Source organism: Homo sapiens, chromosome 1, assembly GCF_000001405.40.
Source record: "Homo sapiens chromosome 1, GRCh38.p14 Primary Assembly".
In the NCBI taxonomy this organism is placed as follows: Eukaryota; Metazoa; Chordata; class Mammalia; order Primates; family Hominidae; genus Homo; species Homo sapiens.
In genome coordinates, this window is record NC_000001.11 from 16,034,098 (window position 1) to 16,057,355 (window position 23,258).

At 59.1% G+C, this 23,258-nt stretch overlaps 1 protein-coding gene and 1 pseudogene across 2 annotated transcripts, besides 15 other annotated features; one reads left to right on the plus strand and one right to left on the minus strand.

The window, feature by feature from the left end:
* Positions 1-2,108: part of a biological region, named in NCBI's record as "CLCNKA recombination region", that runs on past the window's edge. NCBI's record gives its function as "recombination_partner: LOC106501713".
* Positions 1-2,108: part of a non allelic homologous recombination region, noted in NCBI's record as "sub-region c, recombines with sub-region c' within the CLCNKB recombination region", that runs on past the window's edge. NCBI's record gives the evidence for it as "EXISTENCE:polymerase chain reaction evidence [ECO:0000082][PMID:15044642]".
* Positions 413-5,934, minus strand: FAM131C2P (family with sequence similarity 131 member C2, pseudogene; annotated as a pseudogene).
* Positions 4,529-5,029: an enhancer, noted in NCBI's record as "H3K4me1 hESC enhancer chr1:16365121-16365621 (GRCh37/hg19 assembly coordinates)". NCBI's record gives its function as "activates a minimal SCP1, AML or CMV promoter by ChIP-STARR-seq in naive H9 embryonic stem cells {active_cell/tissue: H9 hESC(naive)}" and the evidence as "EXISTENCE:reporter gene assay evidence [ECO:0000049][PMID:30033119]".
* CLCNKB (chloride voltage-gated channel Kb) lies at positions 9,685-23,229 on the plus strand. 2 transcript variants are annotated; one of them, NM_000085.5, is made up of 20 exons: positions 9,685-9,783; positions 10,389-10,495; positions 11,461-11,589; positions 12,438-12,566; positions 13,808-13,947; positions 14,246-14,323; positions 14,407-14,485; positions 15,023-15,148; positions 15,521-15,605; positions 15,718-15,819; positions 16,419-16,503; positions 16,778-16,951; positions 17,381-17,450; positions 17,613-17,723; positions 18,101-18,314; positions 19,542-19,675; positions 21,338-21,426; positions 21,578-21,661; positions 22,325-22,411; positions 22,772-23,211. In NM_000085.5, the coding sequence occupies exons 2-20, from the start codon at positions 10,396-10,398 to the stop codon at positions 22,817-22,819; spliced, it is 2,064 nt and encodes a 687-aa protein (NP_000076.2). In that variant the 5' UTR covers positions 9,685-9,783; positions 10,389-10,395; the 3' UTR covers positions 22,820-23,211.
* Positions 10,496-11,460: a non allelic homologous recombination region, noted in NCBI's record as "sub-region a', recombines with sub-region a within the CLCNKA recombination region". NCBI's record gives the evidence for it as "EXISTENCE:nucleotide sequencing assay evidence [ECO:0000219][PMID:9326936]".
* Positions 10,496-23,258: part of a biological region, named in NCBI's record as "CLCNKB recombination region", that runs on past the window's edge. NCBI's record gives its function as "recombination_partner: LOC106501712".
* Positions 13,644-14,547: an enhancer, noted in NCBI's record as "H3K4me1 hESC enhancer chr1:16374236-16375139 (GRCh37/hg19 assembly coordinates)". NCBI's record gives its function as "activates a minimal SCP1, AML or CMV promoter by ChIP-STARR-seq in naive and primed H9 embryonic stem cells {active_cell/tissue: H9 hESC(naive and primed)}" and the evidence as "EXISTENCE:reporter gene assay evidence [ECO:0000049][PMID:30033119]".
* Positions 14,548-15,450: an enhancer, noted in NCBI's record as "H3K4me1 hESC enhancer chr1:16375140-16376042 (GRCh37/hg19 assembly coordinates)". NCBI's record gives its function as "activates a minimal SCP1, AML or CMV promoter by ChIP-STARR-seq in primed H9 embryonic stem cells {active_cell/tissue: H9 hESC(primed)}" and the evidence as "EXISTENCE:reporter gene assay evidence [ECO:0000049][PMID:30033119]".
* Positions 15,451-16,354: an enhancer, noted in NCBI's record as "H3K4me1 hESC enhancer chr1:16376043-16376946 (GRCh37/hg19 assembly coordinates)". NCBI's record gives its function as "activates a minimal SCP1, AML or CMV promoter by ChIP-STARR-seq in naive H9 embryonic stem cells {active_cell/tissue: H9 hESC(naive)}" and the evidence as "EXISTENCE:reporter gene assay evidence [ECO:0000049][PMID:30033119]".
* Positions 16,355-17,256: an enhancer, noted in NCBI's record as "H3K4me1 hESC enhancer chr1:16376947-16377848 (GRCh37/hg19 assembly coordinates)". NCBI's record gives its function as "activates a minimal SCP1, AML or CMV promoter by ChIP-STARR-seq in primed H9 embryonic stem cells {active_cell/tissue: H9 hESC(primed)}" and the evidence as "EXISTENCE:reporter gene assay evidence [ECO:0000049][PMID:30033119]".
* Positions 17,279-19,968: a meiotic recombination region, noted in NCBI's record as "this region was identified as a recombination hotspot within the HapMap YRI population". NCBI's record gives the evidence for it as "EXISTENCE:nucleotide sequencing assay evidence [ECO:0000219][PMID:20981099]".
* Positions 17,403-17,423: a nucleotide motif, noted in NCBI's record as "nucleotide motif; similarity to the predicted 16-mer PRDM9 C-type binding motif, CCNCNNTNNNCNTNNC".
* Positions 17,451-17,612: a non allelic homologous recombination region, noted in NCBI's record as "sub-region b', recombines with sub-region b within the CLCNKA recombination region". NCBI's record gives the evidence for it as "EXISTENCE:nucleotide sequencing assay evidence [ECO:0000219][PMID:10906158]".
* Positions 18,417-19,968: a meiotic recombination region, noted in NCBI's record as "this region was identified as a recombination hotspot within the HapMap CEU population". NCBI's record gives the evidence for it as "EXISTENCE:nucleotide sequencing assay evidence [ECO:0000219][PMID:20981099]".
* Positions 19,306-19,318: a nucleotide motif, noted in NCBI's record as "nucleotide motif; similarity to the predicted 13-mer PRDM9 A binding motif (LD hotspot motif), CCNCCNTNNCCNC".
* Positions 23,212-23,258: part of a non allelic homologous recombination region, noted in NCBI's record as "sub-region c', recombines with sub-region c within the CLCNKA recombination region", that runs on past the window's edge. NCBI's record gives the evidence for it as "EXISTENCE:polymerase chain reaction evidence [ECO:0000082][PMID:15044642]".

Genomic DNA, 23,258 nt, shown 5'->3' on the forward strand with positions numbered 1-23,258 from the left:
TGGAGCTCCTTACCTGCGCTGGCCCAGAGTGAGTTTCCCGTGGTCACGTGGGCACTGCAGGCTCGGGCCCCTGGGCTCCTCCTCATGCTCCATTTCTTGGCAGGGAGATGATAGGGAGAGAGGTTCTCCCACCAGGTCTATGATGCTTGTCCTCATGAATAAGTGGGATACTGTGTCACTCAAACCCTAGTCTCCTGCTTGGCTGGGCCACAGCTCATAAAGCCAGGACCGAAGTGTGGCTCCTTCTGGAGTCCACAGAGCCCTGGGCATCCTCCATGAGCCTTCTATGCCTGGGTGGCCCAGGTTGACCGGCTGTGTATGTGTTGGGGTTAAGGATCCCCCCTGACTCCCTCCGGACTCTGTCCAGGGGCCCAAGGTCACATCTTCCCCAGCAGAGACCAGGCCAAGGTCATCCAGGGTGAATCCACCACTTTAATGTCCTCAAAGAAACTTGAGTGAGATGGGAGGGAGCTGCAAGGAGGGGGAGTGGGCTCCCAGGGGTGAGGAGCAGGGGACACGGAGGAAGCAGGTTCAGAGAGGGAGGGACAGACAGACAGACACTCCAGAGAGACAGATGTCCTGGGTGAAGAGAGCCGGGGAGCAGGTGCTTAGCTACCAGAAGTGGTCACCCCACCTTTGCTGGGGGGCAGATACACAGAGAGAGTGGGGAGGGACTGAACCCCAGGTAAAGGCAGGGTTCCCAGACCCCACTGTAAGTGGGTCTCAATTCTCTCCATGGCTGTCCTCCTGGGGGCCTGGCTGTTGCTCCTCTGGGCCAGGCTGCCCTGGTGTCTCTGAGAGTCCTTGAGTTCCCTGAGGGCAGACACCCTGCAGGGGAAGGTGCCCACCTGAGTGAAGTAATGAAGGGGGAGGGGGTTATGGCTCCCACTGCTGGGGCAGGTCCACCGAGGCACAGAGAGGCCACCATGAGCACTGGCCCCATCCCTGCCGCACCTACCCTGTGCCTACCCGAAGGGTCAAGAGATGCCCTCCCCTGGACCCCGGGGTCCAGATATGCCTGGGCTGCCCACCAGGCGAGGTCATGGTGAGAGCAGGTGCTGGACCAGCACAGCCCCCACCTCAGTTATAGAACACCTCGTCCTCCTCCCAGAGGGAGCCGCTGTCCATGGAGGGGAGGGAGCCCAGGGGGTGGGTTCCACCCTCGGGTCCTTGGGCCCCGGGCAGCCGCCGCCGATGCTGCAGCTCTGGGCTGGGGGGCTGCGGGATGCCAGCGGTGCTGGGGGGCTCCTCAGGTGAGGGACAGCTGTCAGGGGAGGGGCTGAGCGAGGAGAAGGCCTGAAGGCTGTCATCCTGTGAGGGGCCGCTGGGAAGGCTGTCCTGAAGGTAGATGCTCTCCAGATCTGGAAAAGCAAGGGGGTGATGGGGGAATGGCGTCCCGGATCCAGCTCCTCGCCCTCCCTCTCTGGGGGTGTGAGAAAGGGCAAGGGGCAGAAGACCTGCCTCCAAATCCAGCTGTGTGACTGCCGAGCCTTGTGACCTTGGTCAAGTCACCAAAACTCTCTGAGTCCCAGGTTCCTCCTCCAGGCAGTAAACGGAGGAGTTAAGAGTGGGCTTGGAGCCAGCCTGTGCTCTCTGAGAACTGGGACAGCCAGTGCTGCTCTGGGCCTCTGTCCCCTCCCCGTCCCTCTTGGGGCAGGAGGACTAAGTGCAGGCTTCCCCCAGGGCCAAGGCTCCTTGAAGCCCTCAGTAGTAACCTGGGCTTCTAGAAAGGTGGTTGCTCGTGCCTGGTGCTAAGTTTCAGATCCGGCTCTGACGCTTCTAGCTGTCATTTGGAGTAAGTTTCTGAACGTCTGAGTGCCTCTGTTTCCTTATTTGTAAAATGGGGACAACAGGACCCACTCCCTAGGGCTGCTGTGAGGATTCTGTGAGGTGCTCGTGCACAGCCCTCGGTGTGGTAAGCGCTCGATTCCCGCCCCCACTGTGCTCACTCTCTCCTTCCTGCTCCTGCCACTGCCGGGCAATGGGCAAGGCAAGGATCACTGCCCCATTTTGCAGATGAAGAAACTCGGGCTGAGAAAAGGAAGGGGCTTGGCCGAGGTCACACTGCATTTGGTGATGGACAGGCATCTAGCGTCACCTCCACTCTGCCCCCTCCCCCCGGACCCCCTGGGCTGTACCTTGGAGCTGGACGATGCCCTGGGGGCTGTTCTCGGGGTGCAGCTCCTCTTCGTCCAGCGAGGACCAAGCGCTCAGTGTGGCCTCTGTGATGGCAAACTGCTCGGCGACCCCTGGGGGAACAGCGAGATCCAGCTCAGGGGGGCATGGGTGGGGACGGCCTCAGTGCCTGATGGAGCTGCTCCAGGACAGGCGGGAGGGTGGCCACCTCTCTGGGCTGCCAATCCACACCCCAGTGGTCAAGAGTGCTCACTTAATACCCACCCACCCTATGCCATTATTTTTTCCTGCCCAGACAATGCCCATGCAGTGACCTGGGCCCCCCAAGGACCCAGCTTCACCCCCACAGAGCCCTGGCCAGTCCCCCTCCTCGCTGACCTGCAGCAAAGCGGGCCTCACTGAGCTTATCCGGAGGCAGCAGTAATGCTCGTCCTCAGCTGGGGACAGCTCCCAGCCTGCCCGCTGGGCACTCCAGCCCTTCCACTCGATGAGGTGGGCCACGCGGCCTCGGGCCATGGCCGTGGGCTTTGTGATGTGGTCCTTGATGCTCTGCACCACCCCTGGGGCATGGAGGGCATCTGGGTGACTGTCCTGACACAAGGCTCAGCGCAGGGCCTGGCCCCCATGCCTCAGGCCCACCCAGTGGCCTGTACCCCACATTCCCTCAGTGCACCATGATCTCCATCAGTGCCCCACACCTCCCCAGGGGCCTGTACCCATCTAACTCCTCACACCTTCCAAAGCCTCCTGCTCACTCCTGCCCTGAGCCCTCTGAGCTCTGTGGCCCCCTCCCCTCAATGCCCCCACCCACTGGCATCCGCATTTCCTCCCAGCATCCTACTCCCAGTCCATGTTCCCGCCCACTGGGTGCTTCTTCCCCAGATCGGCCACACCCCTCACTCCCTTTCTGACCAAGTTCAGACCCTTCCATCCAAGGAGAGCCACCCAAGGACCACTCATGAGCCCCCAGCTTTCTCCATGATCCATTAAACACATTCTGAGAGAGCATCTCTGTGGCTGTGCCAGCTCTGCTGGAGGTGAGATCTGGGTGGGTGGAGCAGGCAGGGAAGGCTTCTGGAAGAGGGGACCTGGGATTGGAATTTGAAGGTGGGTTGGGTTTGGACAGATAGAGGCAAGACTGGAGGTTTCATTTCAAAGATGAGAAGAGGATGAAGGCATGGAAGAATCTGGCATGAGTCCAGGATTAGCTGGGATGAGACATGGGGTCCACACTAGGACTGGGAGACAGGAGAAGCTGGGAGCAGATCAGGGCCAGAGCATGGTTGGAGAGAACCAGGTGGGGGGCTCAGATGTTCTCCTTGCGCAGTGGGGAGCCCCAGCAGGGTAATGAGCAAGAGAGTGACCAATTGGCACAGCTGTTTAGGAAGAGTGCCCCAATTGGAAGATTTGGGGTTACTGCAGGGACCCAGCAACAGACAAGGCAAGGGCTGGGCAGACAGAGAGGAGAGGTCGGGGGCTTTGGGAGGAGAGGAGTTGGATGTGGAAGATGGAGGGGCTGTCAGCAATGGTTCAGGATTGTCATTAGCCAAGTCTGCCAACACAGATCTGGGAGTCACCCTAGTCTCCGAAGCCATGATGTGAGGAATGGCGATATTTAAGAAAGACAAGTCTGGGTGTGGTAACTCACGCCTGTAATCCCAGCACTTTGGGAAGCCAAGGCAGGAAGATCACTTGAGGTCAGGAGTTTGAGACCAGCCTGGCCAACGTGGTGAAATCCTGTCATCCTGTCTCTATTAAACACACACACACACACACACACACACACACACACACACACACACACACACACACACACACACACACACTAGCTGGGCATGGTGGCCTGTAATCCCAGCTGCTTAGGAGGCTGAGGCAGGAGAATCGCTTGATCCCGGGAGGCGAAGGTTGCAGTGAGCCAAGATCGCACCACTGTACTCCAGCCTGGGTGACAGAATGAGAAGAAAGACGAGGTATCCACAAAGGAAATTAGAGAGCTGGGAAAATGGGAAAGATGGGTGTGTGGAAGAAAGGGGAGAATCTCGCTCCCAACCACTAAAGCGGGGGGTGTTGGGTATCTAAGAAGGTGTTTTGGAGGAGGTGGGTGTTCAAGTGGCCCTTGAAAGGTAGGTGCAGCGGAGGAAGGTGCTGTGGGTGGAAGAAAGGCACAGGCCAATGTGGGGAGGGAGGGCCCCAGGGGTCCCGGGGGAGCTGGGTGGGCTGTAGTGAAGTGGAGCCTGCAGGGCATGGAGCAGAGCTGGGTATGCACAGACAGGTGAAGGCCGTCCTGGGGCCACCTGATGCCGTGGGGGGCCACCTGATGCTGTGGTGATCACCAGCACCTCCTGTACTGTGCTACGAGCCCATCCCCATCTGCTTCAGGTGCTGCTACTGTGAGCTCACACCTATATCCATATCTGCAGAACCGCCCTGAGCCAATGGGAGCCGCCTCACCCAGAGATGCCCAGGAGGCTGCAAATTCCTCCCCCGGGGCAGCCAGTGAGTCAGCAATGGGGGAGTATAAAGTCCAGCCCCTGGCCGGGCACTGTGGCTCAGGCCTATAATCCCAGCCCTTTGGGAGCCTGAAGCAGGCAGATCACCTGAGGTCAGGAGTTCAAGACCAGTCTGGTCAACATGGTAAAACCCTGTCTCTACTAAGAATACAAAAATTAGCTGGGTGTAGTGGCACACACCTGTAATCCCAGCTACTTGGGCAGCTGAGGCAGGAGAATTGCTTGATCCCGGGAGGCGGAGGTTGCGATGAGCCGAGATCGTGCCACTGCACTCCAGCCTGGGTGACAGAGTGACACCATCTCTCAGAAATAAACAAATAAAATAAAATAAAATTTAAAAAGTCCAGCCTGTCACCATAGTGTGCCATAATTCTGGGGTACTATTCATGCTCCCAAGCTGTGGTGGGACCAGCTTGGTGAAGCTAGACTCCTGCAGAGCCCCTTCCGAAGGCCCCTCTGCCTCCCCCGCTGCCTGCTGGCTTCTCTTGAGGGCCATTCCCCAGGGAATCACCTGCACAGTCATGCCCATGTCAGGCTCTGCTTCCAGGGAACCTGAACTAAGGTGATGGGACTGGCAGAGAGGCAGGGAGACCATGCCAGACAGACATCTGAAAAACTCTGCCCCACCCCCTCAGAGCTTCTTGAGAACCCAGCAGTTTAACCTGTGGAAGCAGAACCCTGAGCCACTGGTCCCCCCGTGACCCGCATAACCCAGCATGGACTCTGGCATTTAGAACATGGAGAATCCAACAGGGCTGCCATCCTCCCACCTGCAACTCAGCCATGCCCTTCCCACAGCCAGGGTCTAGGGTGGGACCGTGCATTCTCCACCGGCAGGAGAGTTGTGGCCAGAACCTACCCACAAGGAACGAGGTGGCCAGGGCTGCCACGTTGTAGTTGCCGGGGCAGGACCTGGAGTCGGACAGGTGGCCGTTGGTGGTCTGGAAGCACCTCTGGAGGAAGTGGCAGGAGGATTGAGCAGGGTGGGCCAGGCTTCCGGCCGACATCCCTCCAGCACCACCACCCATCCCCGTCTCCCAGCTCACCAAGTCCTCTGGCCAGTGGGCAGGGACAGGGCAGCTAAAGCCAGGGAGATCCTACTAACTCCCACGGGACAACCCCCACCCACTGTTTCATCAGATTCTGGTCTTAGGGCTAGTGGGACTGTGTGCCTGAGCTGGGCACAGGGGAGAGAGGGGTGGTGGTGTCAGCTGGGGCCGGCTAGAATGGGGACACACAAGTGCACTGACCTGCCAAGGATCCCAACAGAAATCCATCTGTTTGTCCTAAAACAAGAGGAGAGAGAGGATCAGGCAGGGCCTGGCACGCTGTGCCGGCAGATGGCCCGAGTCCTGGGGCCCTGGGTGAGGGTGGGGGTCAGCCTTCTGGTGCTCCGTGAGGTCGGGGTCTGCCCTCTCATGGGTCATGCTCTGGTGTCCCCCGGCATGCAGAGGAAGAAGGTGGGGGCAACAGTGGTGCTGGGAGGAGAGGCAGCAGGTGCCGCTTATAGAGCAGGCTTGGGTGTGGGCTCTGACTTTGCCATTTCCCAGCTGGTGTCCCTAGACTATTCCTAACAGCTCCGAACACGTCTCTTCCTCTGCAAAATGGCGACAATGTCATTCACCTCACGAGTTGTGGTGAGGACTAAATAACATAACGGAGGCTGAGAAGAGCTGAGTGCAGTGCTTAGCAGGAGGGGTGTGCCACTGGAGAGAAGGTAATTATATCATCCAGTGGGTTCATGCCACAGACCCTGGAGCAAGGGCGGAAATTATGCACCAGAATTTGGGGCCTCTAGTGACCCTGAGTGACATCTTCCAAATCTATCTAGACTGAGAATTCTTTTTTTCTTTTTTCAATTCTTTCCACCCCAAATCACCACCCTGCCTGAGCCTTTGCTCACATCACCTCCTTCTCCAACAAAGAGCTTTTCCTGCTGCACTTAAGACCTTCTCGCCCGTCCATCCCGGACTGGCTCCCATCCCTGCCCTCCCCCGGGGGGCCTTGCTCTCTCTGCTGCGGCATGACCGTGCCATCTCTGCTCCATCAGCCCGGAAGCATCCCGCCAGCATCGCACGTACTGCCATGTCTCTTGGGCTCGGGACTTTGTCCTGCAGTGTCTCCCCTCTGTCCCCTTACCACTGGGTCGGGCCGTCAGCACCCCAGCAGCCCAAGCATCTTCTTTTTTTTTTTTTATCTTTTTGTTTTGTTCTTTTTTTGAGACAGAATCACACCCAGGCTGGAGTACAGTGGCACGATCTCAGCTCACTGCAACCTCTGCCTCCCGGGTTCAAGCGATTCTCCTGCCTCAGTCTCCCAAGTAGCTGGGATTACAGGTGTGCGCCACCTTACCCAGCTAATTTTTGTATTTATGGTAGAGACAGGGCTTCGCCAAGTTGGCCAGGCTGGTCTCGAGCTCCTGGCCTCAGGTGATCTGCTGGCCTGGGCCTCCCAAAGCGCTGGGATTACAGGCACTGTGCCTGGCTCCGCATCTCCTGTCTTTTCAGATCCTTGTCATGACCACTGTTTCCCTCCAGCGTTCCTCTGCTCCCTTCTCATTGGATGTGCAGAAGTCTGTGTCAGCCCCAGCCTCTCGGGATGACCTTAGCAGGCGTCTCTTCCTCCCCGACCTCTGTCCCGTGCTTGGTGGGTCCTCAGCCCACAGGCCAGTACACCTAGGCTGGCACCCCAAGGCACCCGGCATGGAGTGGCCAAGTGAAGGGGAAGGGACCTGGTCACTGAGGAAACACTCAGATCCCCTCCACCTGGAGCTGGGCCCAGCCAGAGACTGCCTAGAACCTTTGGGGTTTCTGGAGCCACCCTCAGACTCTGGGAGCCTGGTGTTCCTAAGGAACCCCCAGCACTCCTCACTCTTCAAACTCCCTTCCCCTCTCACTGAAGACAGTGGGACCAGGTAAGGCATGGGAAGGGGCTGTGGGGGTGAGCTGGTAAGGCCTCTGTCTTGGGAAGGGGTGGGAGATGGGGGGTCTGCTAGCTCCCCAGCTGTCCCCACAGTTCCTCTGGGAAGCCAGGAATAACCAGAGCCTCCCTCCCCTCCTAGGCACCTGGCAGTGGGGGTGTAACCATTGGAATAAAAGCAGGGCAGGGGACCCTGCTTCATGTCACCTGCCAGGATGCAAAGTAGTGTGGGGACTCAGTGACCTCTGAATGTGGGTTCTCTGTACCGCCCCGCTCCCACCCATACCTGCCCTGTCTCTTTCAGCGTGCCCTGTCCCCCATCCCGTCCTCAGCTGCTCTGAGGCGAGGGGGCTGTGCAGGTCCTGGGCACCCGACCCCCACTGTCATGAGACAGAGACCCAGGTCTCAGGCTCAGCTCATTTGACAGAGGAGGAAAACAGAGGCTCCGGATGGTGATGGTGTTAGGGTCACAGAGCCGCCCTGGGTTCTCCCCTGCTGTCTCTCTACTGAGCCCCCGCTACTGCTGCCAGGCGACTAATATGGAAGGGGAGAAATTAGGGCTGATGTGGAGGCAGTGGGTTTGGGAGGGACCTGCATTGGGTCCTGCGCCCCCTGGCTGCCCTCTTCTCAGCCTCCTGGGGCACACAGGGCTGGGGGGTGAGGGTGGATGTGGACATGCAGTGCCGGCTGTGGGACAGTAGCCAGCAGCTGCCCCAGACCAGACACTGGGGATCCGGATGTTGACAGGGCAGCCAGTTCTGGTGCTGTGCAGAGTCAACAGGTCAGGGTGGCCAAGATGAAGGTGGGCTCGGGTTCATGCAGAGCGGCAACCCCCATCCCACCTCCCACAACACACACCTTCAATTTTGATTTGACTTGCCTGGCATCTAGGGGCAAAGGGTGGCCCAGGGTCCCAGATTTTAACAATCATCCAAGGGCCATCATGTTATTCAGAGAGTGGCTTTGTCTGGGTAGGACTGGAGGCAATTGCCCCCAACATCTTGCCCCAAAGTGGCATCAGACACAACTCTTCTGTTCTGTGCCCAAACCATTGCCCTGGTTCAGCCTCAGGAGCTGGAGGAGCTTTGGGCAGGGGAAGAGCTGCACAGTGTGGGGCTGGGTTCAGCCTCTGCTGTGTGACCTTGGATGAGTGACTCACCTCTCTGACCATCTACAAAATGGCGAGGCTCTCCCCATTCACAGGGTGTGGGGAGGAGGACTTGAGCTGCGGATGTGACGCTTCTGACACGTTGCAGGCACACGGCACGTGCTTGTTCCTCGCCATGTCCCCTCACACCTGTGCTGCCATCCTCTGTTGGGGTGGGACAAACTCTGTGGAATTACCCAGAAGTCCCCACCAGAGCCGCTGGCCCTTGGACGTGTGCTTTGAGAGGCATTTCCTGAGCCTGGAGGGTCTGGACACAGGATCAAGTCTGAGTTCCTGACCCCAATTCACTGCCTTGCCCCAGGTGTCGGCCTCCTCGCCAGCCCTGGACAAGATGGGTCATCAGGATGGGACCGTGTGGCACAGCCTGCGGGCTTTGGAGCCAGGCAAACCTGGGCTGGGAATCCTGGCGCTGCCTCGGCCTCCGTGATCTTAGACGGGCAGCCCCACCTCCCTGAGACACCATTTCTCTACAACGGGATCACGCTGCCTGCCTCGTGGGATTTCCGTGGGCACTCAGGGTAATTAATCTAGGGGAAGGCTGACTCTCTACCTGGCACACAGGGAGGCTGTGGTCATGCTGGCCCCACTCACCTTTGCCGGCCTGCTTTCTCCTTCTCTGCCCAGCCTCCTCCCCTCTCCCTCTGTGCTTTTCCAAACCTTCCATGTCCAGCTCTGAGACCCCTGGACCCTGAGCCTCAGCCTTGGCAGATGACCCCTCTCTGTCCTGCTGTGTGCGTGAGCTCCCCCTTCCCAGCCCCCGTCCAGCAGCACCCAGGAGCCTGAGTACAGCTGGGCACCACCCTCTGTGCAGCTATGGTGGGTGGGGAGGCTCCTGTTCCCCTCCCTGTTGGCAGCTCTGCTCTGCTCTGCTCCGGCCTGGGCAGTTCTGATCGGTTTTCAAGGACATTCTAAGTGTTCGCCATAAACCCTGGGCCCAGGCGGGAAAGGGGGGAGGATGTTGATTGTTGGAACACACACCTGTCCAGGTGCAGGGGAGCTGGAGGCTCTGTGAGAGGAGGGCCAGCTCAGCCACAGCAGGAGGACTGACAGGTGAGGGGTCGCTGCAAGATGCTGGGGCCTGCCAGGGCCAGACAGGCAGGGCGGGGGGGGGGGGGTGGTAAGGGCAGGAGCCAGCACCTCACTTTGGCCCTGGTGGGATCTTCTTCTGGGCCTGGGGTTTTGCTGCCTCTGTGGCCTGAGCTGGGGTCAGGGGTGCTCATAGGTGGACAGGGAGAGTCAGAGCCATCCATGGGACTCTGCAGTGAGAGTGTCACAGCCCTGGGCAGAGACTGCTCCCAGCAGTGGAAGCGCCAAGTGACCCAGGAGGGTGGGAGCGGCTGCCACCGAAGGGGAAGGGGCTCTGAGCAGGGCTTGGGCTCCGGCCTGTGCCCAGTCTGCTGCTGGACACAGGGGGACACCTAGGAATCCCACCCCCATCCCACACAATGACACACACAGGCACACACCCTCAGTGACGGAAACTCAGGGATGAAGGCACACACAGACCTAGTGTGATAACTTCACATACACACACACACACACACACACGCACAATCTTTCCTCTTCATGGGTGGGGAGAGCACTGGAAGGGCCTAGAGGCAGTGCGAGGACGTGCAGCAGCTCACCGCGGTCCCTCCCTCTATCCGCTTCTCCAGGGGCCTGATGGAGGAGTTTGTGGGGCTGCGTGAAGGCTCCTCAGGGAACCCTGTGACTCTGCAGGAGCTGTGGGGCCCCTGTCCCCGCATCCGCCGAGGCATCCGAGGTGAGAGCCAGGTCCTCTTCCCTTCCCCCTGGAGGACCACTCAGGACATCATTCCTGCCCAGCTCCCACCCCACCTCCCTGCCCAGGAACCACCCTCCTCCTGGCATTTGTCCAGGACATGACTGCCCAAAGTCTCCTGGGTGGCAGGGAGGGAAGGGGTCTGTCTGTCCAGCTGTCTGTGGGTCAGATGGGCCGGGCATCTGCCCTCTGCCTTTCGGGAGATACAGCCCAAGGCCTGGTCACTGTGCCCATCTTCCACCCAGGCCTCTCCCTCACCTACCTGTGCCAATGAGGGGACGTGGGGGTTAGCTGCTGGGACAGCTGGGGCCACAGCAAGGGGCTGGGGCAGCCTACACTTGGCACCTTTCCTTGGAGCCCCATGTGCTTTGTTCACTTTGAGACCTGACTGTCCCCTCAGCTACGGGGCAGAGCAAGTAGGGACCACAGAAGGAGGCTGACTGCAACCCCAGGGGCTGGTGCCCACAGCCAGTGAGGGCCAGCTCCCAGGCTGGGCTAGCAGCCAGTGGGCCAGGAGCATTGCTGGGGACCCAGAGGATACCTGGCGCCACAGGTCCTGGGACACGCAGGAGTCTGCTAGATCCTGGTGCTCTCTAAGCTATGGACTCTGCGGGGATGCAGGTGAAAGCTGTAGCTGCCAGCCCCCTCCATACTCCCTGTCCCCCAGGAACCTCCCAGTACAGGCAGGGATGCGGAGGGTCGGCAGGTCAACGGCTTTCTGGTAGGGGCAGCAGTCCTGGCACCCACTGTGTCACCACTGTCACCTCCCACAAATCCTGCCCGGCCACTTATGTGAGGCAGGGCCCCCTCGGGACTACCCCAGAGTATACCACCAAGCTCCATCCCCCTGCCCCAGCCTCTCTGCCTGAAGCCCAGCAGGCCTCCAAGGATGGGACTGTCTGTGCCTCCTGCCCCACCCTGTGCCGTGACCCCATGCCCTGCCCCAGGTGGCCTGGAGTGGCTGAAGCAGAAGCTCTTCCGCCTGGGCGAGGACTGGTACTTCCTGATGACCCTCGGGGTGCTCATGGCCCTGGTCAGCTGTGCCATGGACTTGGCTGTTGAGAGTGTGGTCCGAGGTAACCCCTCCATGGCAGGTGCTGCTCTGGGCCAAGGGATTCTGAGCTCTCTCTGGGGATGCCAGGTGGATGTCGCCAGGTGCAGCGGAGGTTGGGGGGGGTGCTCTGGGTGGGGATCTGGTCCTGGCTTTACTCCTGACTTGCTCTGTGATCCTGGGCAGGCTCCTGCCCCTCTCTGGGCCTCAGTCATCTCATTTGCACAAGGGAGAGAGGCCTGAATGTTCCCAAGAGCTCTTCCTCCTCTGAGCTCTCTGCCTCCTCTTCCAGCCACCCTGTTTCTTCTCCTTCCCTCCTCCATGCCCTGGGGCAGAGTGGGGGCACTTCCCTATAACACTAAGCTTGGTGCTTCCTCCCCATCCCACCCCATCCCTCAGCAGCCTGCCTCCACCCTGAGGCCTCCCTGGAAGAGGGGGTGTGGGCAGGAAGGGTCTAAGACACTTTCTCTGGAGACCCTCAGCTGCCAGAAGCAGCACCTACTATGGTGTTACGGTGTTTGGTGCTTCACACCTGTGTCATGTAGTTCTCAGTGGCCCTTTAGTCTTTAACGTCTTTAGTCTTCAATGAGCCTGTGAGGAAGAGCCCATCACGAGCCCACTTGGCAGATGGGGAAACTGAGGCTCAGAGAGGCTGAGTGGCTTGCCCAAGGTCACTCAGCTAGGCAGTGGTAAACCTGGGATATGGACCCAGGGTCGTACTCCTGCCTCTTCTTGGGGGTCTGCACCTCACTGTGTGGCCTGGTCCTCCCCTCTTCGTGACTCCATTTCCTGGTCAGTAAGTGGGCACCACAGCGTCTGGCCCCGAGGGCTGCAGAGGCTGTGGGTGCCTCCCTGATACCCGGCTGTCCCCAGCGCACCAGTGGCTGTACAGGGAGATTGGGGACAGCCACCTGCTCCGGTATCTCTCCTGGACTGTGTACCCTGTGGCCCTCGTCTCTTTCTCTTCAGGCTTCTCTCAGAGCATCACACCCTCCTCTGGAGGTGAGTCCACAGTCGCTACGCCAGTCCCCACTGGCCAAAACCTTCTCAGATCCCAGGGGGGAGTCGGGAAGGGGCAGCCTCATTTCACAGACAAAGGCCCAGGAAGAGTCATGTGGCTTGCCCAAAGGGACACAGCAAGAAGGCCAGATCTTGACTTTTGGGTCACTGCTGGCCCTACCTGCTTTCCAGGGGCTCCGCTGGGACTTGATGGGAGGCCTGGTGGGAGGATCTTCTGCGAAGCCTGTTCCAGTGGCCAGTGCCAGGGAGGGGCCAGTGGAGGAGGCACAGCTCCCCCAGGCCGCTCAGCCCTGCCTCCTGCTCCAGGCCAGCAGAGGGGAGCTCAAAGCTCACTCAGTGGTGGCCTGAGATTTCATCCGGGCTTCCCCTATCCTGCCACAGCCTTCTGCCAGGCCTGGCGGGAGGAACGTGAACAACTCACATTCCCTCTGTGATGCTCGGTGTCCAAATCTGCTAAATGAGTTTAAGGACCTTACCCTAGGCTGGGTGCAGTGACTCATGCCTGTAATCCCAGCACTTTAGGAGGCTGAGGCAGGAGGATCACTTGTGCCTAGAGTTTGAGACCAGCCTGGGCAACACAGGGAGACCCTGTCTCTACAACAAATAGAAAAAAATCAGCTGGGCATGATTGCATGTGCCCGTGGTCCGAGCTACTCAGGAGGCTGAGGCGGGAGGACTGCTTGACCTGGGGAATTTGATCCTGCACTGAGCAGTGTTTGCACCACTGTACTCCAGTCTGGGGGATAGAGTGAGACCCCTGTCTGAAACAAACAAACAAACAAACAAACAAACAAACAAAGGAATCCTAACCCAGCTGGGCACACTGGCTCATACCTATAATCCCAGCACTTTGGGAGGCGGAAGTGGACAGATCGTTTGAGGTCAGGAGTTCTAGAGCAGCCCGGGCAACATAGCTAGACTCCATCTCTTTAGAAAAATAAGGTGGGCGAAGTGGTCTCCACCTATAGTCCCAGCTATTCAGGAGGCTGACGCAGGAGGATAACTTGAGCCCTGGCAACTGAGGCTGCTGTAAGCTATGATCCTACCACTGTACTCCAGCCTGGCCAACAGAGCAAGATCTTGTCCCCAAAGGAAAATAATCCTAACTTCAGAGGGTTCTGCTGATCTGGCGAGATCGTAATGTGAAAACATCACACAGGTAGAGTGTTGAGATTTTTAACCTAGAGATTGTCCCCCTCCTGGCCCTGCCCACCCCCGCCAAGGTTCTGGAATCCCGGAGGTGAAGACCATGTTGGCGGGTGTGGTCTTGGAGGACTACCTGGATATCAAGAACTTTGGGGCCAAAGTGGTGGGCCTCTCCTGCACCCTGGCCTGTGGCAGCACCCTCTTCCTCGGGAAAGTGGTATGGGCAGGGGTGAGGGCATCCCAACCACCCTACCCACCCCAGCCACCCCAGTCTCACCCCCATCACCCCACGAAAGCTGCGTCAGAGGGGACTTGGGCTGGTCCCTGCCTTCCAGGAACTCAGTCTTGGGGGAAGAGGCAGGCCAGGTCCCCGGAGTGTGACAAAAGCCATCTGAGGACGGCCGTGGGGGCTTGGGAGATGGAGGAGGGGGTGTTGGGGGGAAGCCGTGCTGACTCTGGGTGAGACCGTCTCTGCTGCCCTCACCTGGGCCCTGGGCCCACCCTTCTCTCTGCAGGGCCCTTTCGTGCACCTGTCTGTGATGATGGCTGCCTACCTGGGCCGTGTGCGCACCACGACCATCGGGGAGCCTGAGGTTAGGGACTCGGGGGCTTCCTTGGAGAAATGGGAGTGGGGAGGGAGGGGGCTGACTCTGAGCCCTGGACTCGGATCCCCCAGAACAAGAGCAAGCAAAACGAAATGCTGGTGGCAGCGGCGGCAGTGGGCGTGGCCACAGTCTTTGCAGCTCCCTTCAGCGGTGAGACCCCTTCATGCCCCGCCCCCTGGGTCCCTCAAGCTCCTCCCCTCACACCCTGGGCTCCTTCGGCCCAGCTGAGAGCCTGGAGGAGGGGGTGGGGCTCATTCTAGTTCTCACTTCAGCCCCGCCTTGGGCACAGCCACCGCCCCCCACCGGGGGGAGGGGGGGCGGGTGACTTGATTGGCGGTGCTAAGAGGCTTCAGTGTAACATTATACAGACTTGGGTTTGAAATCCACGTATGACCCTGGCCCGTTGGCCTCTCTGAGCCCGGCTTCCTCCTCTACAAAATGGAGATCGCAACCGTCCCCACCCGATAGCGAGAGGGCGCACACCCGCATTCCAGGCTGGACGGGTCTCTGGGCAGCGGGCTCCTCCCCGCCCAGGGCGCATGCCCTGCCCTCCCCTCCTGTCTGTCCCTGTCCGGGCTGCAGGAGAGCAGGACAGATGGGTCAGGGAGGAGGTGACATGGGGAGGGGGTCCTACAGTCACAGGTGGGTGGGGGTGGAGGGCCCACCTGAGATCAGTGTCGCCCCCAGGCGTCCTGTTCAGCATCGAGGTCATGTCTTCCCACTTCTCTGTCTGGGATTACTGGAGGGGCTTCTTTGCGGCCACCTGCGGGGCCTTCATGTTCCGGCTCCTGGCGGTCTTCAACAGCGAGCAGGGTGAGCCCCCTGGGCTGCCTGACCCTGGCCCTGCCTGGGGGCCGGGGCGAGGGGGCCCTCCCTTCTCCCCTGTGTACACCCCTTGCTCTTCCTTTCCCTCTCTCTCCCTCTTTTTCCTCTTCCTTGTTCCCACCTCCTTCTGGGAGGATGGAGGGGGCTGACCTGTGTTGAGCAAGAAGGGCAGGGGCCCTGAGGGTAGAAGGGATGAGGCTGGGCAGGGAGGCAGGAGCCTGGTTGTGGGGGCCTGGAATGCCAGGACACAGATTCCGAGTCAGGACCTGGCACCCCCTCCACCCTGGGCTGTTAGTCTGGGACTTGAGTTTGGGTCGGGTGGGAGCGCCATCTTGGCTCCCCACTGCCCTCCTTCCCCAGAGACCATCACCTCCCTCTACAAGACCAGTTTCCGGGTGGACGTTCCCTTCGACCTGCCTGAGATCTTCTTTTTTGTGGCGCTGGGGTGAGTGGGTGCCTTGGGCCCCTGAGAGTCCAAAAGGCATTCCCCCCAAGGCCTGGACTGCGGCCCCTGGTACTGGGGTCGGGCTCTGGGCTCATGTCTCCATGCTCCCCAGGGGTCTCTGTGGCATCCTGGGCAGCGCTTACCTCTTCTGTCAGCGAATCTTCTTTGGCTTCATCAGGAACAATAGGTTCAGCTCCAAACTGCTGGCCACCAGGTAGGCTCCGGGCTAAGGGCTGGGGACCTCTCAGCGAGCTCCCCCCTCACCGTACTCCCAACCTTATGTAGAAAGCTCTACCCGCCACCTGAGCCCCTAAAGCCCATCCTAGCCCATGCCCCACATGTGGAGCCCCTAACACCACCTACAAGTCCCCACAGTCACTGCCCGACTACCTTACTGGCCTCAAACCTCCCCATTTAACCCCCATATCTCCTGGAGTCTATACCCCCTCAGTGAACCCCAACCCCCTCACTGACCTTTAACCCCCTGTTGGTCCCTCTCTCCCTTTAAACCATGTGTGCCCATGGCATTGGCCAAGCCCTCCTGCCCCAGGTGCATGAGCCCTGCCCTAGCCTGGCCCCACTCTGTCCTCCCTCCCAGCCTGCCTGTGCCCCAATTCTCCTATCAGCCTCTACCCCTAAAAATACCCAGGAGTGTGGGGCTGACCCCACAGGTTCTGTCCCCTGGAGCTGGCCCAGTCCATGTCCCCCATTCCTGCTCTTCCTCCCCAGTCCTTGCCTTGCTAGGCCCTGCTTCCCTCTCCTTGGGATGTGGGAAAGGGAGGGCCAGCCCTAGAGCCCACCCATCCCCCACAGCAAGCCTGTGTACTCCGCTCTGGCCACCTTGGTTCTCGCCTCCATCACCTACCCACCCAGCGCCGGCCGCTTCCTAGCTTCTCGGGTAAGGGGCCTTGAGTGGGGTGGCAGGAGTGGGGAAGCCCTATTTGTTGCCTCCTTTGCGTGTATCTCACTTAATCCCCCCAATACCCCATAAGGGAGATGCCTCAGCATTATTTTATAGATGATACTACAGCTTCGGGAGGTCAGAGCCCTGCCCAAGGCCCCCCGCTGGGAAGTGGCAGAGGAGGATTCCAGGCGGGGTCAGGCGGTGCGGGGGAGGCTGGGGTCTGCCGCTGGGGGCCCCTCATGTCCAGTTCCCACCTGCCCCGCCACAGCTGTCCATGAAGCAGCATCTGGACTCGCTGTTCGACAACCACTCCTGGGCGCTGATGACCCAGAACTCCAGCCCACCCTGGCCCGAGGAGCTCGACCCCCAGCACCTGTGGTGGGAATGGTACCACCCGCGGTTCACCATCTTTGGGACCCTTGCCTTCTTCCTGGTTATGAAGGTGGGCCCCCTGGTCCCCAGGTGTGCACAGAGCTGGGACCAGCTCTGGTGGTGGTGGGGGGTACCTCATCGCAGCTGGTGGCATGGAGCCCAGGCCTTCCACCCACATTTCCTGATGTGCCCCCTGCCCATTGCATGGTCCTGGACAAGTGGCTTCAGCTCTCTGGGCCTCAGTCTTCTCATCTTTAAAATGGGGTGTTTACTGGGAAGGCTAAGGAGGAAGAAAGGAATGTACCTGGCACAGTGCCAGGGCATACAGTGGGCATTTCTCAGGGTGAGGACCCTCCCCTAATGCCAGACTCTGGCAGTGGGTGCATGGCCGGCACCCTCTTTCTCTCTAGGACACTCCCCTGTCCCATGTCCTGTCCTCCCTTGTCCACGCCTTGCCCAGCAGCCTCTAACCTCTGCCCTGGGCTCCCCACTCCCACAGTTCTGGATGCTGATTCTGGCCACCACCATCCCCATGCCTGCCGGGTACTTCATGCCCATCTTTGTCTATGGTGAGTCTGGGGTCCTGAGGTTCTGAGAGTTTCGGGGTTCTTGGGGCAGGACCATGGCTCCTGGTTCACCCTCCCCAGGTTGTACTGAGGACGGTCCTCAGGGATGGAGGGCTGTGGGGGCCGGGTCAGCCTGGCTCCCCCTCACCCTAAGTCTGTGGCCAGGAGCTGCTATCGGGCGCCTCTTTGGGGAGACTCTCTCTTTTATCTTCCCTGAGGGCATCGTGGCTGGAGGGATCACCAATCCCATCATGCCAGGGGGGTATGCTCTGGCAGGTGAGTGGGTCAGGGGCCTGCTGCGTGGGCAATGTCGTGCGGCTGGGCTGGACCTGGAGAATTGGCTGGTGGTTCCCCAGGGCACGGAGCAGTCACTGAGTCCTCCAGTGAACCCCCTACCCCTCATGGGGGTCTGTCCCTCCTGAGCCCCACCATTCCCCGGGGCCCATCACTCCCTCGTGGCTCCTGTCCCCAGCCCTGCGGCCTCCCTTATCCCTCTCCTCTCACCAAGCCCAGGCACTGGGCACTTCCCACAGTGCCCAGGCTGTGGCCTCTTACAAATCACACCTTAGCCCCTGGTCGCAGCCGTGCCAGCCTTGCCCTAACATGAGGCTGGCCCCTGGCCTGAGCTGCCCTGCCTGACTCTGCCCTTGCAGGGGCTGCAGCCTTCTCAGGGGCTGTGACCCACACCATCTCCACGGCGCTGCTGGCCTTCGAGGTGACCGGCCAGATAGTGCATGCACTGCCCGTGCTGATGGCGGTGCTGGCAGCCAACGCCATTGCACAGAGCTGCCAGCCCTCCTTCTATGATGGCACCGTCATTGTCAAGAAGCTGCCATACCTGCCACGGATTCTGGGCCGCAACATCGGGTGAGTGGTGCCCACCTCAGGCTGACTGAAGGGGGTCACAGTGTTTGGGAAGGGCTGGGGTGAAGGGCACCTCGAAAAAGAAACGCCACCGTAGCTGACCTCGGACATGGGGGCTGACACACAGCTGTGCTCTGTTCTCCACTCTCCCCAGTGCCCCGGGTGACCTTGGGCAAGTCCTTGGCCTTGAGGCCTCAGTGTCTGTCTAGGGGTCAGCTGGGCTTCACAGCAGGAGGATGAGTATTGCCCCGTGTACAGATTGAGGAAACCGGGGCTCAGAGAGGTGCCGTGTCTTGCTCCAGGTGACACAGAGAGTCAGCACCAGATCCGAGAGGTCTCCTCCCCTCTCCCCACTCCTGCTGTCCTTGCTGGGACTTTGGGAGCAGGAGGTGGAACGAGAATGGAAATGGGCTTTGAGGTCTTCACTCAACCAGATAGGACCAGAGCAGCTTCTGGCACCAGAAAAGCAGACCAAAGAGGCTCTGAGAGTCCCTGGGTCTGAGGCCCCGCTGAAAACACAAGCAAGCTGCTGCCTTGCTCTGAACCCGTTTCCCTATCTGGAAAATGGGGCTGCTTACCCCAGTGGTTTCCAGACTTTCAAGTTTTTTTCCCTGGGGGAGGCATATACTTTTTTTTTTTTGAGATGGAATCTCACTCTGTTTCACAGGCTGGAGTGCAGTGGCACAATCTCAGTCACTGCAACCTCAACCTCCCAGGTTCAAGCAATTCTTCTGCCTCAGCCTCCCAAGTAGCTCAGACCAGGCATGTGCCACCATGCCCAGATTATTTTTGTAATTTTAGTGGAGACGGGGTTTCACCACGTCAGCCAGGCTAGTCTTGAATTCCTGGCATCAAGTGATCCACCTGGCTTGGCCTCCCAAAGTGCTGGGATTACAGGCGTGAGCCACCGTGCCCAGCCGCATATACTTTTTACTCAAATTAAATCCTCCAGGGAAGGCTGCTGGGTAAAACAGGCTAAAGTGGAGCTGGTCTGGGGGACACGGGGGTCCAGGGGGCTGGGAATTCGCAACTGGGTCATCGGCGATGTGGTCCCCAGGTTTCCTCTCACCGTGGGTTCTAGGAGTCCCTCATTCCAGGAACCTCTCCGGCCCTGCCCACACTCCAGAGCCGTGGGTCCCCGGTTCAAGCAAAGCTCCCCACAGATCCCCCTGCCAGCCTGGGTCTCACATCCCTGACTGTGGGGCCTGATGGGAGCCCCTCTGCCTGCAGTTCCCACCGCGTGAGGGTGGAGCACTTCATGAACCACAGCATCACCACACTGGCCAAGGACATGCCACTGGAGGAGGTGGTCAAGGTTGTGACCTCCACAGACGTGGCCAAGTATCCCCTGGTGGAGAGCACAGGTGCCCAGCCGGAAGGGAGGAGGAAGTCGGGGGTAGGGGATGCCCTCTGCCTCCTTCTTGAACCTGTCAGGCAGACAGGATCTGCATCCAGGCTCTGTGACTTAGCAACCAACCGTGTGACCTTGGGCAAGTCACATCACCTGAGCCTCAGTTTCCTCATCAGTAAAATGGAAATCATGGCCACCCTCCCTTGGGGTGGTTGACATGTCTAAAGAGAGTCGGCCGGGTGCTTGTAAGGCAGTCCCTGGGCAGCTGCTGGGGTAGGAGCATGGGGACACCACCAGGGTCTTCCGGAAGCTTCCCTTCAGGCCTCCCTTTAAGCATTCCCCAGATGAGTCCCCTCCTCCAAATCCTTGTTGCCACAAGGAAAACATCTCTTTAGAGACAAAAGCATGGTGGCTCTTGTTAAAAGGCATGGAACTCACTTCTTGCAGAAACCTTAACTAGAGCGTCATTTCCTGTGGGTACAAGTCCAGTATCTGCATTTAGAAGATAAGGCGGGGTTGGGGGGTAACCCTGCTCACTCAAGGCTGCTGTCAGCCCATGTGTCCCCCTGTGCAAGTGAGACAAGCTGCACACCTGGCAAGCACACCACAGCTGGATTTTGGTCTCCACTTGCACTTTGGGCAGGCACCTTGTGCAGTGAGCAACCTGTACAACCATATGGGTCACCCCTATGCCCACCCCAAGAGGGATAAGGCCATTTATGAGCTAAAGAACTGTGAGTATACCACTTAAGCTCTATGTACTGCATTTTCATCATCTTGAAAGTAGGGATCAAGAGAGTATAGGATTGCCAGACGTTCTCACTCCAAATGCTAGGCCCTTCTTTCCCCCACTAACTGGAAGACCGTTAGCATTATGCTGTGGAATATGCCAAATATCTCATCTGAAAATGTTTGCATTCGGATGACCCCACCAAGAGCCTTCACTTCCTGGATCAAAGAAAGAACTAGCCTCAAAGACAAAGACAAAGTCCTCTTTTACCCTCAGAGCCACAGCAAAGTGCTCCAACCAACACAGGCCCAGGCTGTGGGACCCCACTGCTCACCCAAGAAATAGCCTTCAGTGTTCATTTAAAAGGGAAGGGGGACATTTATATGTCTAGGTGTCAAGTTTTTATTCCACTCAACAGAAAGCAAAAACACCAAGCTGGGCCCTCAAAACTAAATATCCGACAATGCCATTGATGCCCCAGGGCCAGAGTGAAGTTGCCAAGGCCCCAGCACACAGTAGGACCTCAGAACACAGTGTCCTCCTGGGTTCACACCTTCACTGTGCTGCGCCAAATGTGAAGCCTCTTGGGAAATGAAGGAGAAAGCCCAGCCCTGACACACAGACTTCATCGTGCTGGCGTCCCTAGCTTGCTCCTGTCTTGAGGCCTTGCAATGTGGGGGATCTCAGTGGTGGCCAGGGTCCCTCCTGGCTCCCTGGCAGCCTCACTCAGCCATCCTCAGCTACCACACCTGAATGACCTTGGGCAAGACAATTAGCCTCTCTGTGCCTCTGAGCCAAAGTTTCCTGTCCTTTATAATGGGTGACAATAGTCACAATAGCCCCATAGGAACACCAGAACAGTTCTTGGCTAAGTAGGTGCTAAGTAAATGTGAGTCCCTGTTTCCTCCTAATGTGCCTCCCTCTGGCTGTCTCTCCACTTGCCAGAGTCCCAGATCCTGGTGGGCATAGTGCGAAGGGCCCAGCTGGTGCAGGCCCTGAAGGCTGAGCCTCCTTCCTGGGCTCCTGGACACCAGGTGGGTACTCCTGAGGGGCATGGGGATGGGGCGGGGGTGGGTCAGCAGGAATGGGAGGAGAGGGGCCCGCTGATATCCTGAGGGAGAGGTGGTCAGAGAGAGGCATCCTGGGGAGGCCAGCCCTGCACCTGTAACCCTTCCCCACCCCCAGCAGTGTCTCCAGGACATCTTGGCTGCAGGCTGCCCCACAGAACCAGTGACCCTGAAGCTGTCCCCAGAGACTTCCCTGCATGAGGTAACGGGGAGAACTGGGGAGTGTGACACATGAGGCCTCTGGGTGGGGGAAGAGCTGATGAGGAGCTCACGCTCCAGCCTCCCCTCCCAACCCCGCCCTGCCCGTCTTATGCTGCTTCCTGCTCCTCCTGGGCCAGTGTCCTCATCAGCAGACTGGGCAAAGAAGCTCCTGCCCTGTTGCCCCTCACTGCCAGGGTTGTGGGGATGATGCAGAGAGATGAGGGAAGTGGGAGAGTGGCAAATGTAAATCTCTGGGTGGAGAAAGACAGTGGAGTTGCACCAAGGCACACGTGCGCTTCAATTTCAGGTCCACCGCATTCTCCCTGTGTGATCTTGGACAAACGACTTAACCACTCAGGACAGAGCCTGGCACACGGGTTGGGGAGGGGCAGAGGCTGACAGGGGACCTGGAGATGGCCCCGCCCCCTCTGTGCTGCTGGAGGGTGCTGGATATTAGGTCCTGTTTACCTGCGGCCCCGCCCAGACCCTTGCATGGACTCTGGCATCCCCCAGTGGCCACATTGGACATTGCAGGCCTGGGTCTCTTGTCTCCCACACACATCAGGCCCCGCCCCTCTTCCTGGCTCAGAGGCGTGGTGGAGTGGGCTAGAGGGTGGGCTGGGCACCTTCTACCCTCCAGTGTTTCCTAACATCCCCCATCCAGGCACACAACCTCTTTGAGCTGTTGAACCTTCATTCCCTCTTTGTGACGTCGCGGGGCAGAGCTGTGGGCTGCGTGTCCTGGGTGGAGGTACCAGGGTCCCGGGGGCAGAGCAAAGCAGGGAACCTATGCCTGAGAAGACTGGGGAGGTGGGGAGGTGGGGTGGGGGGGACACCAGCATGCTCCCATCCAAACCTGGGGGGATTCAGAGGATACTGATGAGTCCCTCTTCTTGGCCCAGATTGGCCACTGGGCCTGGCTCCCCTACCTTGTTTTCTGGCCAGTGGCCAGCCTGCCCCTCTCGGCCTCAGTGATCCCATCTGTGCAATGGGGTGGCACAGGCTCTACTATTTACCCAGAAACCACCCTTAGGGGAACCAAAAATGCTGGAGCCCCCCTCACAACCTCCTCTACATCCCCCCGCACCTCCACCCCCTTTCTCTGTTCTAGATGAAGAAAGCAATTTCCAACCTGACAAATCCGCCAGCCCCAAAGTGAGCCGGCCCAGCAAGATGAAACAGGGCACCCCAGCTGACCTGGTACTGAGGTTGGGCTGAGACCCTGCTTCTCTTCCCCCATCACCACCTGCCCCTCCCTCCAGCCCAGCTCCATTCTTTGGCATAACAGGCAACTTTAACCTAGCCCAGAAGAGGATGGCTCATCCTGGGTGGGACGATGGCTCCTGCCTTGAAAGACAAAAATCCCACCTTGGGCAGAGCTGAGTGTGAGAAGATGGAAAACCAGTATCTGCCAGTTGCTCAGTGACTGGCCATCACATTAATGAATGATGAGATTGGAGTACACTGTCACCAAGGGCAGGCACAGATGCCTTCTGGGGTTGTCTGGTTCCCAGTGAGAGGCTCCTGAGAAAAATAAAGCTGGTTCCCAGAGCTGGTGTCCATCCCTCATCTCAGCTGCAAGGTTGCTGGTCTGGGAC

Coding starts and splice junctions, on each gene's coding strand:
- CLCNKB (NM_000085.5), top strand. CDS start 10,396: ATGGAGGAGTTTGTGGGGCTGCGTGAAGGCTCCTCAGGGAACCCTGTG. Junction 10,496..11,460: donor CATCCGCCGAGGCATCCGAG/GTGAGAGCCAGG, acceptor GCCCTGCCCCAG/GTGGCCTGGAGTGGCTGAAG. Junction 12,567..13,807: donor CATCACACCCTCCTCTGGAG/GTGAGTCCACAG, acceptor ACCCCCGCCAAG/GTTCTGGAATCCCGGAGGTG.